This window comes from Homo sapiens, chromosome 1, assembly GCF_000001405.40.
Source record: "Homo sapiens chromosome 1, GRCh38.p14 Primary Assembly".
NCBI classification, from domain to species: Eukaryota; Metazoa; Chordata; class Mammalia; order Primates; family Hominidae; genus Homo; species Homo sapiens.
The window spans coordinates 114,204,640-114,221,745 of NC_000001.11; the positions used below are offsets into that span (position 1 = coordinate 114,204,640).

Sequence of the window (17,106 nt, forward strand, 5' to 3'; positions counted from 1 at the left end):
GTTTCCTTAAAGAAGTAAAAGTAGAACTATCATTTCATCCAGCATCCACTACTGGGTATCTACCTAGTGGAAAAGAAGTCATTATACAAAAAAGATACTTGCACACGCATGTTTATAGCAGCACAATTCGCAATTGCAAAAATATGAAACCAGCCCAAACGCCCTTCAATCAATGAGTGGATAAGAAATTGTGGTATGGCCTGGCGCGGTGGCTCACACCTGTAATCCCAGCACTTTGGGAGGCCAAGGCGGGCGGATCATGAGGTCAGGAGTTCGAGACCAGCCTGGCCAACGTGGTGAAACCCTGTCTCTACTAAAAATACAAAAATTACCTGTGTGTAGTGGCACACGCCTGTAATCCCAGCTACTCAGGAGGCTGAGGCAGGAGAATCGTTTGAACCTGGGAGGCAGAGGTTGAAGTGAGCCGAGATCACGCCATTGCACTCCAGCCTGGGAGACAGGGTGAGACTCCGTCTCAAAAAAAAAAAAGAAATTGTGATGTGTGTGTGTGTGTGTGTGTGTGTGTGTACATATATATATAGTATTCCGTGGCGTGTGTGTGTGTATGTGTGTATATATATATAAATATATATGTAATTATATATTATATATTATATATAATTATATAAATATATATGTGATTATATAATTATATAATATATAGTTATATAAATATATATAATTATATATTTACATATATAATTATATAAATATATATAATTATATATTTACATATATAATTATATATAATAAAGGAATGAGATAATGGCATAAAAGGAATAAAAAGGAATGAGATAATGGCATTGGCAGCAATCTGGATGGAATTGGAGACCATTATTCTAAGTGAAGTAACTCAGGAATGGGAAACCAAACGTCGTATGTTCTCACTCATAAGTGGGAGCTAAGCTATGAGGATGCAGAGGTATAAGAATGATACAATGGACTTTAGGGACTTGGGGGAAAGGGTGAGAAGGAGGTGAGGGATAAAAGACTACAAATTGGGTACAGTGTACACTGCTTGGATAATGGGTGCACCAAAATCTCACAAATCACAACTAAAGAACTTAATCACGTAACCAAACACCATCTGTTCCCCAAAGATCTATGAAAATAAATAAAAATAATAAAAATAAAAATAAAAAAGTTAAAATGCTATACATGTAAAAAAAAAAAAAATAGCATGGTGGCACATGCCTATAGTCCCAGTTACTCCAGAGGCTGGGGTTGGAGCCTTGAGCCCAGGAGGTAGAGGCTGCAGTGAGCTGAGATCACGCTACTGCACTCCAGCCTGGGTGACAGAGCAAGACCTTGACTCAAAAACAAAAAAGTAAATAAGATATATGGTATACTAGATGGTGGCAAGTGTTAAAGAGAAAAATAAAGCAGGAGAGTGTGGAGGGTGTGGTGGTGAACATCCTGTGGTCTCAGCTACTTGGAAGGCTCAGGAGTGTGTAAAAAATACGTTTATATTTCTCTTCAGTAAATATCTGGAATTGAGATTCCTGGGTCCAATCATAAGTGTATGCTTAACAAACGTTAAACTGAAGAAAGAAACTGTCAAATGGTTTGCCATTTCATAATGGGTGGCCAAGAAAGCCCTTGATGAGAAGATGAATTCTGGTTAAAGATCTGAAGGAGGTGAGTGAGACTTGACATGTCTAAGGAGAAAATGCAGTGATCTTTTTGTAATTCTCAAGCTTCTGACTGGCTACACAGGGTTTATATTTTTACTAACTCTTATCAAGTGTATTAGTTATCAGCTGCTATGGAACAAATGACCCCAAAACTTAGTGGCTTAAAACAACAAAACGTTGTCTCACGGTGAGTCAGGAATCCAAGTGTGGCTTATCTGCATCCCTTTGGCCCGGGGTCTCTCACACAAGGCTGTCATGAGGGCGTTGGCCAGGACTGCAGTCATCCCCAGGCTCAGCTAGAAGAGGATCTGCCTCCGAGATCACGCAGGTGGCTGTTGACAGACCTCAGGTCCTCACCGGCTGTTAGGTGAAGGTATCAGTTTCTTGCAGCTTGGACCTCTCCATGGGGCAGCTGATAACAGAGAAACCCAGCAAGGCAGAAGTCAGACTTTCAATAATCTGATCTTAGGAGTGACATCCATCATTTTTACCATATTAAATTGGATGGAAGCAACTCATTAGATCCAGCCCACACTCGAAGGGAGGGGGTTACAGAAAGGTGTGAATTCCAGGAGGTGAGGATGGTTGAGACCATTTGGAGGTTGACTCTCTCCCCAAGAGTAGAACAAAGGCATGTACATCCTTCATATGCACCTGGATGACATTCCCTTGTTAATTTTCCCCATAACAGCCAGAGTAGTCCTCACAAAATATAAGCGAGAGCATATCACTTCCCTCTCCAAACCCTCTATCACACCTTAGAGTGACACCTGCAGCTCACTAGCTGGCTGCGGCCTCACTCTCCTGCCGCTTATTCCACCATCCACTTGACTCACGCCACTCTGGCCGCAGGAACCTTCTTGCTCTTGCACAAATATGCTGAATCTCTTCCTGCCCTGTGCACTGCTCCCACTTGGCCCTCCTTCCCCATCACTCAGGTCTGCTCAGCTCTCACCTCCTCCACGGGCCTTTTTCTGTCCACCTGTACTTCAGCCCTCTCCACTTATTCTACTTTATTTTCCTCATACCACTTATCCCTATCTGAAATGGTCTATTATTTGTTTGTTTGCTGCTTGTCCTCCTCCCTGACTAGAAGGTAAGGTTGACAAGGGGAGGGACTTTTGTCTATTTTGTCCACTGCTCTATTCCCAGTGCCTGGGACTTAAAAGAGTCTCAGTGGATGTCACCAGAATAAGCGAGTGACTGAACAGCATTTGGATGTACGTAAAGATGAAGTCATCTGTAACACAGTAATAATAGTATTTTCCACTTGGGGGGCTTATTATATCCTAGGCAGTTTACAAACATAATTTCATGTAATCCTTACAAAGATCCCACGAGGTGGGTACTATCATTATCCTCATCTTACAGGGGAGGAAAACCAGGCTTGGTAAGACCAGGAAACCCACACGAGCTCACACAACAAATGGAAGAGCTGAGATTTAAGCCCACAGTTTCCTGACCCTGCAGCCCACACTGTCTCCCCAGCAATAAAGCAACCCAGACAGCGGCTGTCCGCGCAGGCTGTGCACAGGAGCACCCGCGGGGCACGGGCCTCACCACCGTAGTGTCATAGTCACCATAAGACTATTTCTAAAACTGTTGCCTAGGAAATCCTCACGTACAGGCTAGGATAGCGATCCTGTCTCACACTTCAAGATCTAGTGACAAGTATTAATGCAGCGCCTACCTCTACAGTAGTCTACAATTTAACAGAACCTTTCATCTCAAGCCACCTTTAGGCAAAACTGTGACATTTAGCTTGAGGCTACCCAGAGACCCTGCTGAGACTTGAGCAGCCCAGGTTTCTGCCCTTCTCACCCATGCTCACCCACACTTTGTCCTCCTCCCTCCTCTGAGGGACAGTGAGAGGACGAGTCAAGGCTGCTCCCCCAGTCAGAGCTTTCAGCCCCATTGCTGCCACTGGCTGCAGGCTCATGGACAAATGAGGCTCCAGCTCCCAATCAGCCTCCTCTCCCTTGTCAGCGCAGTTGACAGCAATATCACCCATCTGGAGCACCTGCCTCCCAGTATTCCTCGCTCCTGCCACACTGAATTCCCTTCAGTCCCTGAATTTGTCATGCTCTCTCACCTACGGGCTTAGCTCATGCTTGTGCCTCTACCAAGAAGATTCTTTCCCTCTGATCAGCTAGTTAAATCCTATTAATGCTCAGGTCTCTGTAAATGTCACTTCCTGACCTAGGGAAGGCTTCCCTAACTATCCCCTGTGTGGGTTAGGTACTTCCCTGCTCCACTGGCACCCAGGACTTCCTGTATAACAGGAGAACACCAGCTTGCCTTCATAATTACCTGTACTTTCATAGAGGCGCCCTGAGATCAGGAACCATGCATGTTGGGTATCTGTAGCCCGGCATTTACCTCCTCTCCTCTGGAAAGAGTTTACTAAATTTCCCTTCCTTTTTATTTCAGCCATGTGGTTTGTGTGCGACTGACGCTAACGTCCAACTCCATCTGCAGAGCTTAAGTTAATGGGCATACCCTACCTCCATTCTCCCTGTCACAGTGGCTCAGGATTGACATGTGACTCAGGCCAGGCCAATCAGGCTGCACCTCAGGGCTCTGCCTGGAAAGATGAGCACTGGATTCTTTCTCCCCTGCCGCACATGTAGCCTCTTGGGATACTGGAAGAAAGCCAAGGTTTCTTCCAGTTATGCTTAAATAACCTGTGTCAGCATCAAAGACAGAGCCCTGTGGCATCCTGCTAGTGTTCCCCTTTCAGGTTGATGTTGCAATAGTGGCCACTATTCTTTGGATCTGGCTGTTACACCAGTTAACCCTGTGCATTAAAGGAAAGGGTATTCAGTAAGTAAGTTCAGTAACAACTCAGGGGCTTAACATCTTCACCAATGGAGGTGAGGGTTGGGGTGGTGGAATCTGGCCTGCAAGGGAGTCATGCAGAACTAAGAAATGGAGACAAAGAAACAGAGTCCTGGTCACATTATTTGAGGCACTGGATCAAGCATTGCCTGAAACTAGAGCTACCTCTAGATTTGTCAATTACATGGATCAATCAATTACCTTTATACTTAAATGAGATTGGGTTTGCTTGTTGTTGTCGTTACTTGCAATGAAGAAAACACCTTAAATTCTGCCTTATTCACCACTGAATCCTCAGCCCTCAGCACAGTGACTGGCACCTAGCTGTGAGTGAATATAAGTTTCTTTGCTCTAGGTAAGAAATCAGGGGACTAGCAACTCCAGCAGGGAGGGCAATATAAGCACTTGGCTCTTTCTAGGCAGGTGCTACAATGGTGGTTCTACTTCTTTCTCCCAGTTCCTACACAACAGTACATCAGGGATCCCTCTCTCAGCTCCCCTGGGCCCTGAAGACCCAGGAGCTCTTCTATCTGGCTGCTGAGATGCAATCCCTACCTCCTGGTCCTACTTACAGAATCATCCCTAACCAGCTTCATTCAAGTCCCCAGCCTGCCTCAGCAGGCCATGTTAACTCGGAGCCTGTTACAGACCATGGGGCCACTCAAAGCACAGATTTAGCGCGCCGTCTACTTGCTTTTTAAAAAATCTAGGCTGTAATTGGTTCTTCCACTCACACACTGAATAAATTCTGTGCCCTCTCTTGTGCCCACAATCTGATTTTATCACTGTTATTGGAATAACAGAATTTGAGAAAGAAACATAGAGGTCATTTAGCTCAACTCCGTTCCTAGGGCAGGTGCCACCACTACTACGTCTCTGACTGAGGTCTAGCCTGCTTTGGCTTGAATACAACCACGGACCGGCTGCTCCATCCTTTGCAAGTCGGGCACATTGTCAGACAGCTCAGATTGTTAGAAAGTTCTTCCTGAAATTGAGCTGGAATCTGCTTCCTTGTCATTCCACCTAGTCCTGGATCTGCCATCTGGAGTCCCTGGCATCAGCCTGATCCCTCCCCCACATGGCAGCCATTGGGATATATGAGGACAGCTCACATGTCCCTAACGTCTGCTTGGCTCCAGGCAAAGAATCCCTTGTGCCCTTACCCAGTCCTCATATGACTTGGTTTCCTGATATTGCACCAGCACATCATCCCCTGAATGTGCTCCATTTGTGATTGTTCACCTCTCTGAAAATATGGTTCCTTGAAAGGATCTCAACAGTCTAGCTGTAGCCTGTCCAGCACCAAGCACAATAGAACCATCTGTACCTGGTTCTGGGCTCACCACACCTGTTAATGATGATATGTAAATTCCCAGTGCCATTTTTAAAGTCTCATCATACTATTAGCTCAATGCAATCTTAGAGAAAATAAACCCCTTCCACTGGATTTTCCATATTTGAACATTTGATATATGGAGCTTCATAGAGATTTGTCTTGAATGTTATCTTACAGGGTTTAGACTGGGCAGAATCACTAGTGATCATATAATTTGTCATACAAATTGTGACAGTTTTAAGATTGAAAACAGGTGCTATTAATACTATCAACAATCACTTTGAGACAACAGACACAACCAGGGCTGTCCAAACAAACCTAGACCCAGGACCACCCTAAGCAAAGTGGTTAGGACCACAGAGTCTGGGTTCAAATCCCAGTGCTATCATTTACCAGTTTGTTACTTAATCTCTTGATGTTTCTGTTTTCCCATCATGGAAAGGGAGATAACATATTTACATCATAGGATCATCATAAGTATTAAACAAGATCATGTATGGAAAGCATTTAACCCAGAGCCTGGCTTACATTAAATGCTTAGAAAATATCACTTGTTATTTTTAGCTTGTTGAGATCTTTTAAAATTTGACCAGCTATCCCTCTCAGCATTGTGTCATTTTTAAATCTGAGAAGTACCTCTTCCACAGCCTCGTCTGAGTTGTTGCTTAAATAACCTGTGTCAGCATCAAAGACAGAGCCCCATGGCAGGCTGCTAGTGTTCCCCTTCCAGGCTGATGTTGAAGTATTGGCCACTATTCTTTGGATTTGGCTGTTACACCAGTTAACTCCGTGCATTAAAGGAAAGTATGTTTAGTAAGTAAGTTCAGTAGCACCTCTGGGGCTTAACTGGTATACAGGTTTATGTTTCTCTCACATGAAAGTCTGGAGAGGCCCCACTTTGGCAGAAGTCCATCCTCCCACCATTAGCCAGGCACCCAGGCTGATGGCAGCTCTTCTGTCTTCAGCATGTGGCTTTCTGAGTGGTTCTGCTGGTCACCATTCCCACCAGTAGGAAGCGGGAGAAGAGTGTAGAGGAGCAAGTGGAGGAGATATATGTGCTGGCCTGCCAGGGGCATGGATCACTTCTGCTCACAAGCACATGGGGGAGAACTTAGACACAAAGGTGCGCCACACCATAGGGAAAGTGGGAAAGGCAGGGCAGCTTAGCTGCCAGGGGCCAGCTCCACTGCCATTCCTACAGAAGAAGGGGAGGAGATTTTGGTGGACGCCTAGGAATTCCCACCATTCCCATCCACCTAATGCATTATCATTCAGGCCACAATTTTCTGTCTTGTCCTCGAGGAAGTAAGGTGAGACTCTACCAAATACCTTATGAAATCAAAGGCCTTCACCATTCTGCTCTGCTACTAGCAAAGAAAGGAAATCATTTCCAGGGCCTCATGAGGAGATGGCACACAGGCAGCCCACACTCTGTCTGAGAAATGGTTTTACATTTGGGGCAGTGAAATTCATTTAATCCTTTCATTAATCTGTGTGGGGAAGAAAGAGAAAGAAGGCAGAAACATAGTGGTGTTTAAAAAATGAAATGAAACGAAATTCCAAGTATAAGAGCCTTATGGAAAAGTCAAGCAGAAAAGGAGTTATACATAAAAATTAAAATGATCTTCAAGATTGCTTAATATTTCTCTTGGAACATTCCTGAGCCCCTTGAAATGAGATGTAGGACTCAGATTTCTGACACAAGTAACATAGGCATTATGGTCAGCCCTTAAACTCCAGCCTGCAGCTCTTAAAGTCAAGTCAAGCACTGCTGATAAGCAACCTCATTTATTCATTCAGCAAACACGTGGAGAGAAGCTTCTCAGTGCCATGCACTGTGTGGGGAATAAAGAAATAAACAAGCTGTGGGCCCTACCCTTGAAGGTCTTTCAGACTCAAAGATTCCTAGTTGCAAATATCAGAAACCGTGTCTGGCTACTCTAAACAGAAAGAGAATTTACTAAAGAATATTAGGTCACAAAAACTCCGGGAAGCTATGAAGCTAGGAATAATGCCTCAAAACACTTTGCAGAATAGTCTAGAAGAGACTATGCTGGCCCCCCTGTCAGCACAGACACACAGCTTGGTGACCCTGCCTGTGTGGGACCTCAGATGCTTTCATCAGCATCTTCTGAAATTGAGGAAGATACAAGCCATCTTAGCCAGAACATACTCCTCCCAGTTCTCGCTGCTTTGCAGTGCTAGCTTCTGATTCAGAGTCCTTCTGATGCAGCTGTGCCCTAGCTGCAAGGAAGGTGGGAGAGTGAGTACCTGCCTTCTAAGTTAGGATGTGGGGATTCATAAAACAGAATTCCCCAAACATAAGGAAGATGTGAAAAGGTTCTGGGTGGCCAAAACATTGATAAGTGTCCATGATGAGGTGAAAAATACATGCAAATGCATATATTAGAATGGAATATGGGCTTTATGAACTTTATGAACAGAGTTGTGAAAACACAGAGGACAGAGAAATAAAACCTAACACAGCAGGTCAGAGAAAACTTCGCCAAGGGAGTCTCCACCTGTCCCACCCACCTAAAGTGTTATCATTCAGCCCGCATTTACTATCTTATTCTCTGGATCATAAGGGATGCTTGAGAACTTTCTGGGGAAAGTTTCTGAGGAAGGGCCCTGCACACAGAGGAAAAGCATGTGAAAAGGGATGAGAGTGGGAAAGGCTTGGTAGGTCTGCGGAGTGGCTCCATGTGGTAAAGGCAAAGGCTGAGTGTCAGTAGCGAGGAGCAGATAGGCTGAGAGTGACAGGTCAAGATCAGATCACAAAAGCCTTTTATGGTCATTGGATGTCATTGAAGGATGAGAGTAATGTGATCTTTTTGTTTTTAAGAGATTACCTGGTGCTATGTAGAGGGTGGATTGGATAGGAAAGAAAATGAAGATGGAGACAGGGTCCAGAGGCTGGTGTGAAAGACCAAGTGAGAATGACGCAAACCTGAATTAAGGCAGTGGCAGCAGGAAGGAAGGGAAAGTTGAACCTGGGAAATTGCTCTGCCCACTGGGAAACCCAAACTATGGGTCTGGAACGGAGTTGGGGATCATTAGCTTTAGATGGTAGTCGGTACAATAAGAGAGGCCACAGAGGGTGAACAGAAGATGACTGGGAACCCTTACAGTTAAGCATTAGAAAGCCCAAGTCAGGTTTCCCAATCCCAGCAGCAAACAAAGGCAGGATGTGCCCAGGCCATAAAGCGTAACACTGGGTATTAGGGGTAAGAGGGTGGAGATCCTGATCCAAGTTCCCTGGAGCTCATTGTTGTGTTGAAGCACATAGACGGCCGTTGTAGTTTTTTGGCTAGCTGCTTCAATTTCCTCTTCTCATTGTAATGGAGCAGGATTTCTACTCGGGGAATCCCCTCTCACCCATTCTGTGCAGTCTTGGGGGTGTTAATCAATGTGACCTGTCTGGCCCTGGCTAAGAGGTGAGCATGGGACCCAAGAGCATTCAGATTCTCTTCAAGGACTTCTTATTTTGAGCTGAGTGAAGCAAGGCTGGAAAGAAGAGTTTGGAGTTGGTTCAACCCAGCAGCATCTCCCTAAGGAAACCACCCCTTAATTCCTGCCCCATGGAATCCTGAGCTGCCCTAGCTCAATTATTCTTTAAGTCTGGTTTCTAGCTTTCTCTTCTACTCTGTGAACTCAGTGAGACTCTTAACTGAATTTTTTTCTGCTTGGGGGAGTCAGAATCTGTGGTTTGCAATCAACCCCGACTCACAGAGTAACAGGCACTTAAGTCAACTGTGTATAAGAATTCCTCCAAACCAACCTCCCAACAGGTGCAAAGCACTTATGAAAAAGGAATGGGGCTGTCATGCACACTGGAACAGGGATCATTCTAGCTGTGACTTTATTCTCACTTGTCACAAGACCTCAAATGGGTTCCTTCACCTCTCCAGGCCTCAGTGCTCTCATCTGCAAATCACAGTGTGGGGTTGGATGATACTTGGTGTCCAGTGGGGTGCTGGTAAACTGTTTCTTTAAAAAAAAAAAAAAAGAAAGAAAGAAAGCATTTTGCTGGCTTTTAAGCAACTTGGTCAAAAATCTGCTTCCTTAAAAAGTAGAGAATTAATGAGCATCTCAAGCTTTTTCTTTTCCTTTTTAATGATGCCTGCACCATCGGAGTATTCTAGCATTCTCTCTTTTGTTTGGCATATAATCATGCACAACATTTTTATTTCTTTAAGGTGGGAGTATATTTTTATTTCCTAAATGCCATACTATGAAGATCAAAGTCTTAAGTGTGTTTGTGTAGCTCAAAAATAAAGATATATTAAGGGGGGAGAACACCGGTCTCAGCACAAGGCACACTTAAAGCAAGTTTTACTTTTGGTTGTATTTTCTTTGTATATTACAAACACTTATTTAACTTGTTGTCATTTGAAGTAAAAAATTTCCAAAGTGTGTGCTCAACAATAATCATTGAAATGTTTCCAGTGAAAAAAAGAAGTGAAAGCCTTGATTAATAGTGTTTGATAATGTCTGTGGTATAAATATTCCTTCCGTGGCTAACTTTCAAGCTACCAATGGTTTAACAACCAGCTTTCTAATTTCCTGAAATTTGTACTTTTGCAATCAGGTACAAGCCAGCTCTGGTACATCACTGTTGGTGTCCCTTCTAGGGCTGACTTCTGGTCTGTACCACTCTACACTGGGACGCTGGAAGACTAAGTCTTTGACTCTTGTTGGAAAGAAAGCGTATAGGATGGCATTTCTCAAACTCCATAGCAGGGAACTTGTTAAAATGCAAATGCCCGCAGACTGCTATTAGGCACTCTGAATTAGCATAGGGGTGGAAGGGTTCCCAAAAATTTGCACCATTAACACACTCCCCAGATGATTCTGATGCAGGCGGTGTGAGGGCCAGACTTTGAGAGTCACTGGCTTGGAAAGTGGAAGGGATGGAGATAAAACAGGTGACAGTGGTGGGAAATGGAGTCAGGCAAGAGGAGAGAGGATTATGGAGGAAATGATGACCCAGACCATAGACACAATTGGGAAGCAAAGAGCAGGGAGGCAGGAGATATTCTCAGCTTGATATCCAGACTTGGAGGACTCTGCAGAACACCATGTACCAGAGGGCTTTAATAAGAGATGATGAAGATCATTATGGCGATGAAGGAGGGCAGTAGGCTTTGTTAACCAGCTTTACAGGGCTGGTAGGAAGTAGAGCCATCTGGTGCATATTTGGTACATTACAGAATCTATTTTATTTTCACTCATGCTACTCAGCCAAATTTATATCTGTTTCTGGCTGCAGAACTTGCCTGGTATTAGACTAAGCCCTGAGCTCTGAGCAGGAAGAATCCCACGCCAAGGACGTGATCAGTTTTTGCCGATCCTGGGGGCAAGGCTGGATTTCTAAGCCTTCCTAGAATTTCAGCCCTTGTTCTAGATGGTGGGAACCCAAGAACATTCCAAGTGAATGACTGAAAGTCCTGAAGGAATCTGTGCTCATATCACCAAACCACCTATCTCCTCCTGCAGGAGAGGGCAGCATTGGCCCCAGCCTCCCTGTGAGGCCCTTCACATCCTCATTTCCATTTCTCTATTGCTTCTGGGGGACAAGGACCTTGTTTATCTTTTCAGGCCAGGGCCTGCCTCTCAGTAGGTGGAAGAATGAGGCAGGTAGGTGATTGTAACGTACAGGGATTGGGAAGCACCATTAGGGCTGGCCTGGCTGAGACAGATACAGATAGAAGAAGAGTAATTGCCCAGTGGTAGGGGGTAGCTAAATATTAGGGGTCGAAAAAGCCTGAAATTTACCCTACTTGAGAAGGAAAACAAATCTGCTTAAAGCTACACAGTAAATTAATAATAATTAAAAAAAAAAAAGACTGACTAATGGTCCTCCCTACCTCCGTCACTCCCCCACACAAAAGAAAACAAGATAACTTTCAGGAAAGTTGGGGAAGGGGAGGTACATGCTGCTTAAGAGGCTCTTGGGAGAGCATTTGTTGTCTCTTCCTAGTCTTTGGCCTTATTCCAGTCCAACTGTTCAAAGGCACCGGGGCAGAATTTGTCTTCCCTGGGCTGGAACACAGGATATCACTAAGATTCCTCTGGATCCTGGAATGATGCTGCGAGTTGCACACACCTGCTCTGACTTTCCCCATTTAAAATTCCTCGTTAGAAATCCTTCCTTCCACTCTGATGTCCCAGACATCGCTCTTGGATCTTCCGCCCGCTTGCCTTGCATTCCCATCCCTCAGCTCAGACAGATGAAATGCAGGATAAAACCTTTCAGTACACAGGGCAGGGACCTTGTCTTTGTGTCTCATAAAGTGCGTGTACACCTGCAGTGCTTTGTAAATAATAAATGGCCACAATAAAGAAGCTGCTTCTTTGGGGTCAGGGGTGCCTGTTTGCAGAAAAACAGTTCCCCCTACACCTCCTCCCACCAGGTCTGGCTCTGCCTGGCACAGCTGTCACCGGAGCCTGAGGATGCAGTGCACAGAGATTTCCAAGGGGACATGTGACCTGAAAACTTAGGGTTCCAAACAGAATAAAAGGCACCACGCCAGGATTTCTTGGCCAGGGGAGGTCAGAGAGCAGCTTGCTGACATACTATGTACTTGAAAAATAAATGTACCGTGGAAATGCAAGATGTCATTATTATTACTTCGAATTTTATTGTTCTGCTTAATCTGGCCTTTACAAATTACAACAGCACAGGCTTTTTTAGCCAAGTGTATAATAATAATTTACTATTGAAAGAGAGATTGGCTGGTAATAACAGGTATTATTACTCTAATAATAACTTGCCAATTTCATACAAAGGAGAAGGAGACCTCTTTCCAGATGGGTGAACAAGCGAAATAGACAAGGGGGTTTCATGAGGGTGACTATGGGAAGGGCAAGGACATGATTACAACGTGGTCACTCATTATGATGACCCCCATCACTGATGCTGAGAACAAGTGGAGTAAAACTCTCAACTAGCCTGCTGTTTTCTCACTACAATTCAGAAACAGCAGTTCATCTTTTTGAAAATATGCTGCTAAAATCTCCCCTCTGTGTTTCCGGTTGCAGGGCACTATCAGGGCAACAAAACGTTCTAGAACAATGAACTCATCCATCAGGTATTTTGGAGGCCTTCATAATAATAGTAGCTGCCATTTATTGCAGCCTCGCTATGCGCCAGGCACTGTGCATCACCTCATTTACTCCTCTCCACCTTCTCTATGAAGTGAATCCTACTATCCATTTTATACATGAGAGACCTTAGGCTCAGGGTCGATAGGCCCAGTGTTCTAGCCAGGATCCAAACATAGACTGAATCAGGAGCCCAAGATCTTAACCACTGTGATCTACCACCTTTACTGCCACTTGGCAATGTTTCAATGGTTGAAATAGCTGAGTATTAGTAACTCAAACAACTCAAACTTGACACCTCTAGGCAAGAGGGAATAGTTTTCAAGCATCCAAGCTGATGGAAGGACAGAGTGGGATGGATAGCACCAATGCACAGGTGCTCAGGGAGTCACTTGGACTTGGCTGTGGATGGCCTAACTGGGAGAGTTTGCAGCAGAATTGCTTTCTGAGTTATGTTTTTCCAGACAGGTATTAAAAATATCCATGATCTCCGAGACTACTCTGGCTAGGTGGGAGAGGAGAGTGACTCTGAAGGAGGGGTGGGAATGGAGAAACTACTGCGGCATAAAAATTTGACTACAGATAATTTGTAAAGTTGATGATCAACCTTGATTAGATTTGCTCTTTCTAATTAGCAGAGCTGGATGGTTGGAGCTCCTTCATCCCTCCCCTCTGAGACTTTATTTTTTAAATTTCTTTATCATTAAATGAGGAATGTGGAGGAAAATTAGAAGGGTGGATGCTTCGAAGTTCTTATTGTCTAGCTCTGACCATCTGCCCTGGACTCAATTTATTCCAGATTGCCAGTTCCATGAGCCATCTTAATGAGCAAGCAGGGAGAAGGTCTCAGTCCAAGGCTTGCTCTGGCCTAAAGTGATTGCCTCACGAACGACTCACTAATTTTTAATTAATGCTCTGATCCATCCCAGAACCCTGGCTTGTGCATATTCTGCCTCTTCCCCCCACCGTTCACAAGCAGGAAGAAAGACATCTGGGCTACTTCAGTGCCTGTTGGGACAGGAAAAATAGCCAGGGCAGTGTACATCCCTTTCGTTTTCAGGGAAGTCACAGAACCACATCTGTTTTTTAAAGCGCAAGAGTGGAAGGCTGGGATGGGGGAGAGGCTGGGGGAGAAGGGATGTGAGTATGTGGTGGGGGCTATGGATGTGGTAGTGATGAGGCGAGTGTGTCTATGAGTAATACGGTGTGTGTGTGATGTCATGTGGGTGTGCTATGCAGGTCAAGTGTGTGATGGTGTCTGTGTGTGTGCACGTGTGTTGTGTGTGAGATGTGGTATGAGTTGCTGTGTAGGTCAAGTGTGTTTTTTGTGTGAGTATGGTGTGTGTGTGCTCATGTGCAGTGCGGTGTGGTCTGAGTGTGAGGGGTATATGTGTGTATGTGTGGTACAGTGTGTGATGTACAAATGTGCTGTGTTGTGCAGGTCAAGTGTGCTGTGTTTGTATGGTGTGTGCATGTACAGTGGGGTCTGGGTTCTATGGATGAGCATGTGCATGTTGTGTAATGTGTGTTTTGTAGTGTGGTGTGGTGAGTGTGGAGGAATGAATGCGGTGGTAGTGATGGTGGTGATGGTGGTGCCTGTGTATATGTGTGCATGTGCGTGTGTGAAAAGAGGCAGAGCAAGAATGAAAGCATCTCTAACAAAATAAGCTGCTTGAAAAGGGAATTTTTCTATCTCTAGAAATTTGCCAGAATATCTTCCTTTTTTGGCTAAAGCCTCTGCTCAGAAGGTCTCTGCTGCTCTGGATAAAAAAGGACAAGCTGGGTTTCAACAAAATAAAATGAATGTTAAAGATACTCCGGGGAGAAGCATTTTTACAAACCCAGTGCTAACGATGCAGTGGTTTCAGTTTCCTTCCATTGAGTGAGAAGGAATATTTAATTTTGAAACCAGTGGAGGCTCAGGCCCTACGCAGCAAGGTAGAGGAGACAACAGCACACGGCCCCTTTGTAGATTCATCCGTGCTCCCCTGACACCTCCTGTTTCCAGGTCGCAGATGAGATGAAATCCTCTTTGTGGAATACTGAAAAGGACTTTTGGTCTCCAGGGTTTGGCATTCCAAACAGAAGTAACTGAAGTCACCCTGATATGGAGGTGCCATCTAGGGGCAAGAAGGGGCTGGAGGAGGCTCCTGAAGAACAAGGAAAGGAGTCATCTAGCCAAAGGATTTTGTCACAGTCCTTCACACATGCTTTCTGGAGCTGGGGTCCTTGTGCAGGGGAATGTCCCAGAAGGGCTCAGCCCAGACAAATCCAGCAGGTTCAAAAGCATTTCCACTGAGAGGCTTTTCTTCAAGCCAAGCTCCCTGGCAGAGAGGCATTCCAGAGAAACGCAAATGAAGTAAACATATGGAAAAAAGTTTACATTCATGTCGTCAAGGAAATACAAATTAAAACAATAATTGACACTGACTTGGTGAAGTTCTTTAAAATGATCATGTCGGGGCACTCTCATGCTGCGGGGAGAAGCACACATTGGAAGGGAGGCAGTTTGGTAACACTTATCAAGAGCCTTAAAGCCTCAAAAGCCTCTACCCTTTGGCTCAGTGATTCCATTTCTACGAGTTTATTTTTAAAAACTCATTAGAGTACAAAGATTTCTGTAAGGATGTCCATTGCAGTGTTAATTATACATGTGAAAAATTGGTATTAACTTCGATGTTCAAAATAGAAAAGTCTAAAATAAATGTACCTTCTAAATAATGAAATACTGTGTTGACATTAAAAATCGTATTTTTGGACACTACCTAATGAGGTGGGAAAATAGTCAAATACAATGTAAAGTTAAAAAGGAAATATTTTTAAAAGTATATATATAATGTATATTTATAGAAAAAGGGGCTGAAAGGATATACATCAAACTTAATAGCCGTTTCCTTTGTGGAAATGGCATAAGTGATTTTTTCTTTATGTTTTTCTGCATTTTCCATAGTTTTATATACTGGGAAATAAATATTATAATGATAAATAATAAAAACAACATATATAATTTAAGAAATAAGGCTGAGGCTGGATATGGTGCCTCATGCCTGTAATCCAAGCACTTTGGGAGGCCAAAACAGAAGGATTGCTTTGAGGCCAGGAGTTCAAGATCAGCCTGGGCAACACAGCTGAGACCCCATTCGTACAAAAAATTTTAAAATTATCTGGGCATGTGGCGCATGCCTGTAGTCCTAGCTATCCAGGAAGCTGAGGCAGGAGAATCACTTGAGTCTAGGAGTTTGAGGAGGCAGTGAGCTGTGATCGTGCTACTGCACTTCAGCCCGGGTGACAGAGTGAGACCCTGTCTCAAAAAATAAACAAAGAAATAAATAAAACATTCCTGTGAACAACAATGACAAAGACAGTAGTATAATTTCTTTCAATTAGAGGGAAAGGCACTCACATTTCTAAGTACCTCCTCTTATGTGCAAGGTCTTGGACTTGTGTCACAAGGCTCACAATAGCCTTGGGAGGGATGTCTCTTCTCATAGCTCCAATGCTTTTCCCCTCCTCTCACTTTCAGCCCATGGTCTTTCTTCCTATTTCATTGAGAAAATGAAAACAATGAGAAGACATCTTCCATACTCTCCCACTATTGCTTCTACCTCCTACCTGCATCTGTGCCTGTAAATTTGGCTTCCCCTGGTATTGTTACAGATGACTCACCTGTGCTCCTCTCTAAGGCCAGCCTCTGCACTCATGCTGCAAGTCCAATCTCCTTTTGCCTACTCAACATTTCTCCACAAGTCTTCCCTCTCTATCTCACATCTTCAATTTCCCTCGCTATTGGATCATCCCATCAGCATATAAACATGCTATAATACTGCCCACATTTAAAAAAATTCTCAGCTGGGCATGGTGGCTCACGCCTGTAATCCCAGCACTTTGGGAAGCTGAGGTGGGCAGATCAAGAGGTCAGGAGTTCGAGACCAGACTGGCCAACATAGTGAAACCCCGTCTCTACTAAAAATACCAAAAAAAAAAAAAAAAAAAAAAAATTAGCCAGACCTGGTGGTGGGTGCCTGTAATCCCAGCTACTCGAGAGGCTGAGGCAGGAGAATTGCTTGAACCTGGGAGGCCGAGGTTGCAGTGAGCCAAGATCGTGCCATTGTGCTCCAGCCTGGACAACAGTGTGAGACTCTGTCTCAAAAAAAAAAAAAAAAATTATCTCTTGAGTGACAGCCCCCTCCA

General features: G+C 44.2%; 1 long non-coding RNA gene across 1 annotated transcript; it reads right to left on the minus strand.

Moving 5' to 3' along the window:
• Window positions 1–413: 413 nt before the first annotated feature.
• On the minus strand, window positions 414–16,416 carry LOC107985443 (uncharacterized). Its single transcript, XR_001737803.1, has 3 exons — window positions 16,319–16,416; window positions 1,821–2,046; window positions 414–450 (listed from the first exon to the last, which is right to left on the minus strand). It is a non-coding gene; the product is annotated as an uncharacterized LOC107985443 (long non-coding RNA).
• Window positions 16,417–17,106: the final 690 nt, after the last annotated feature.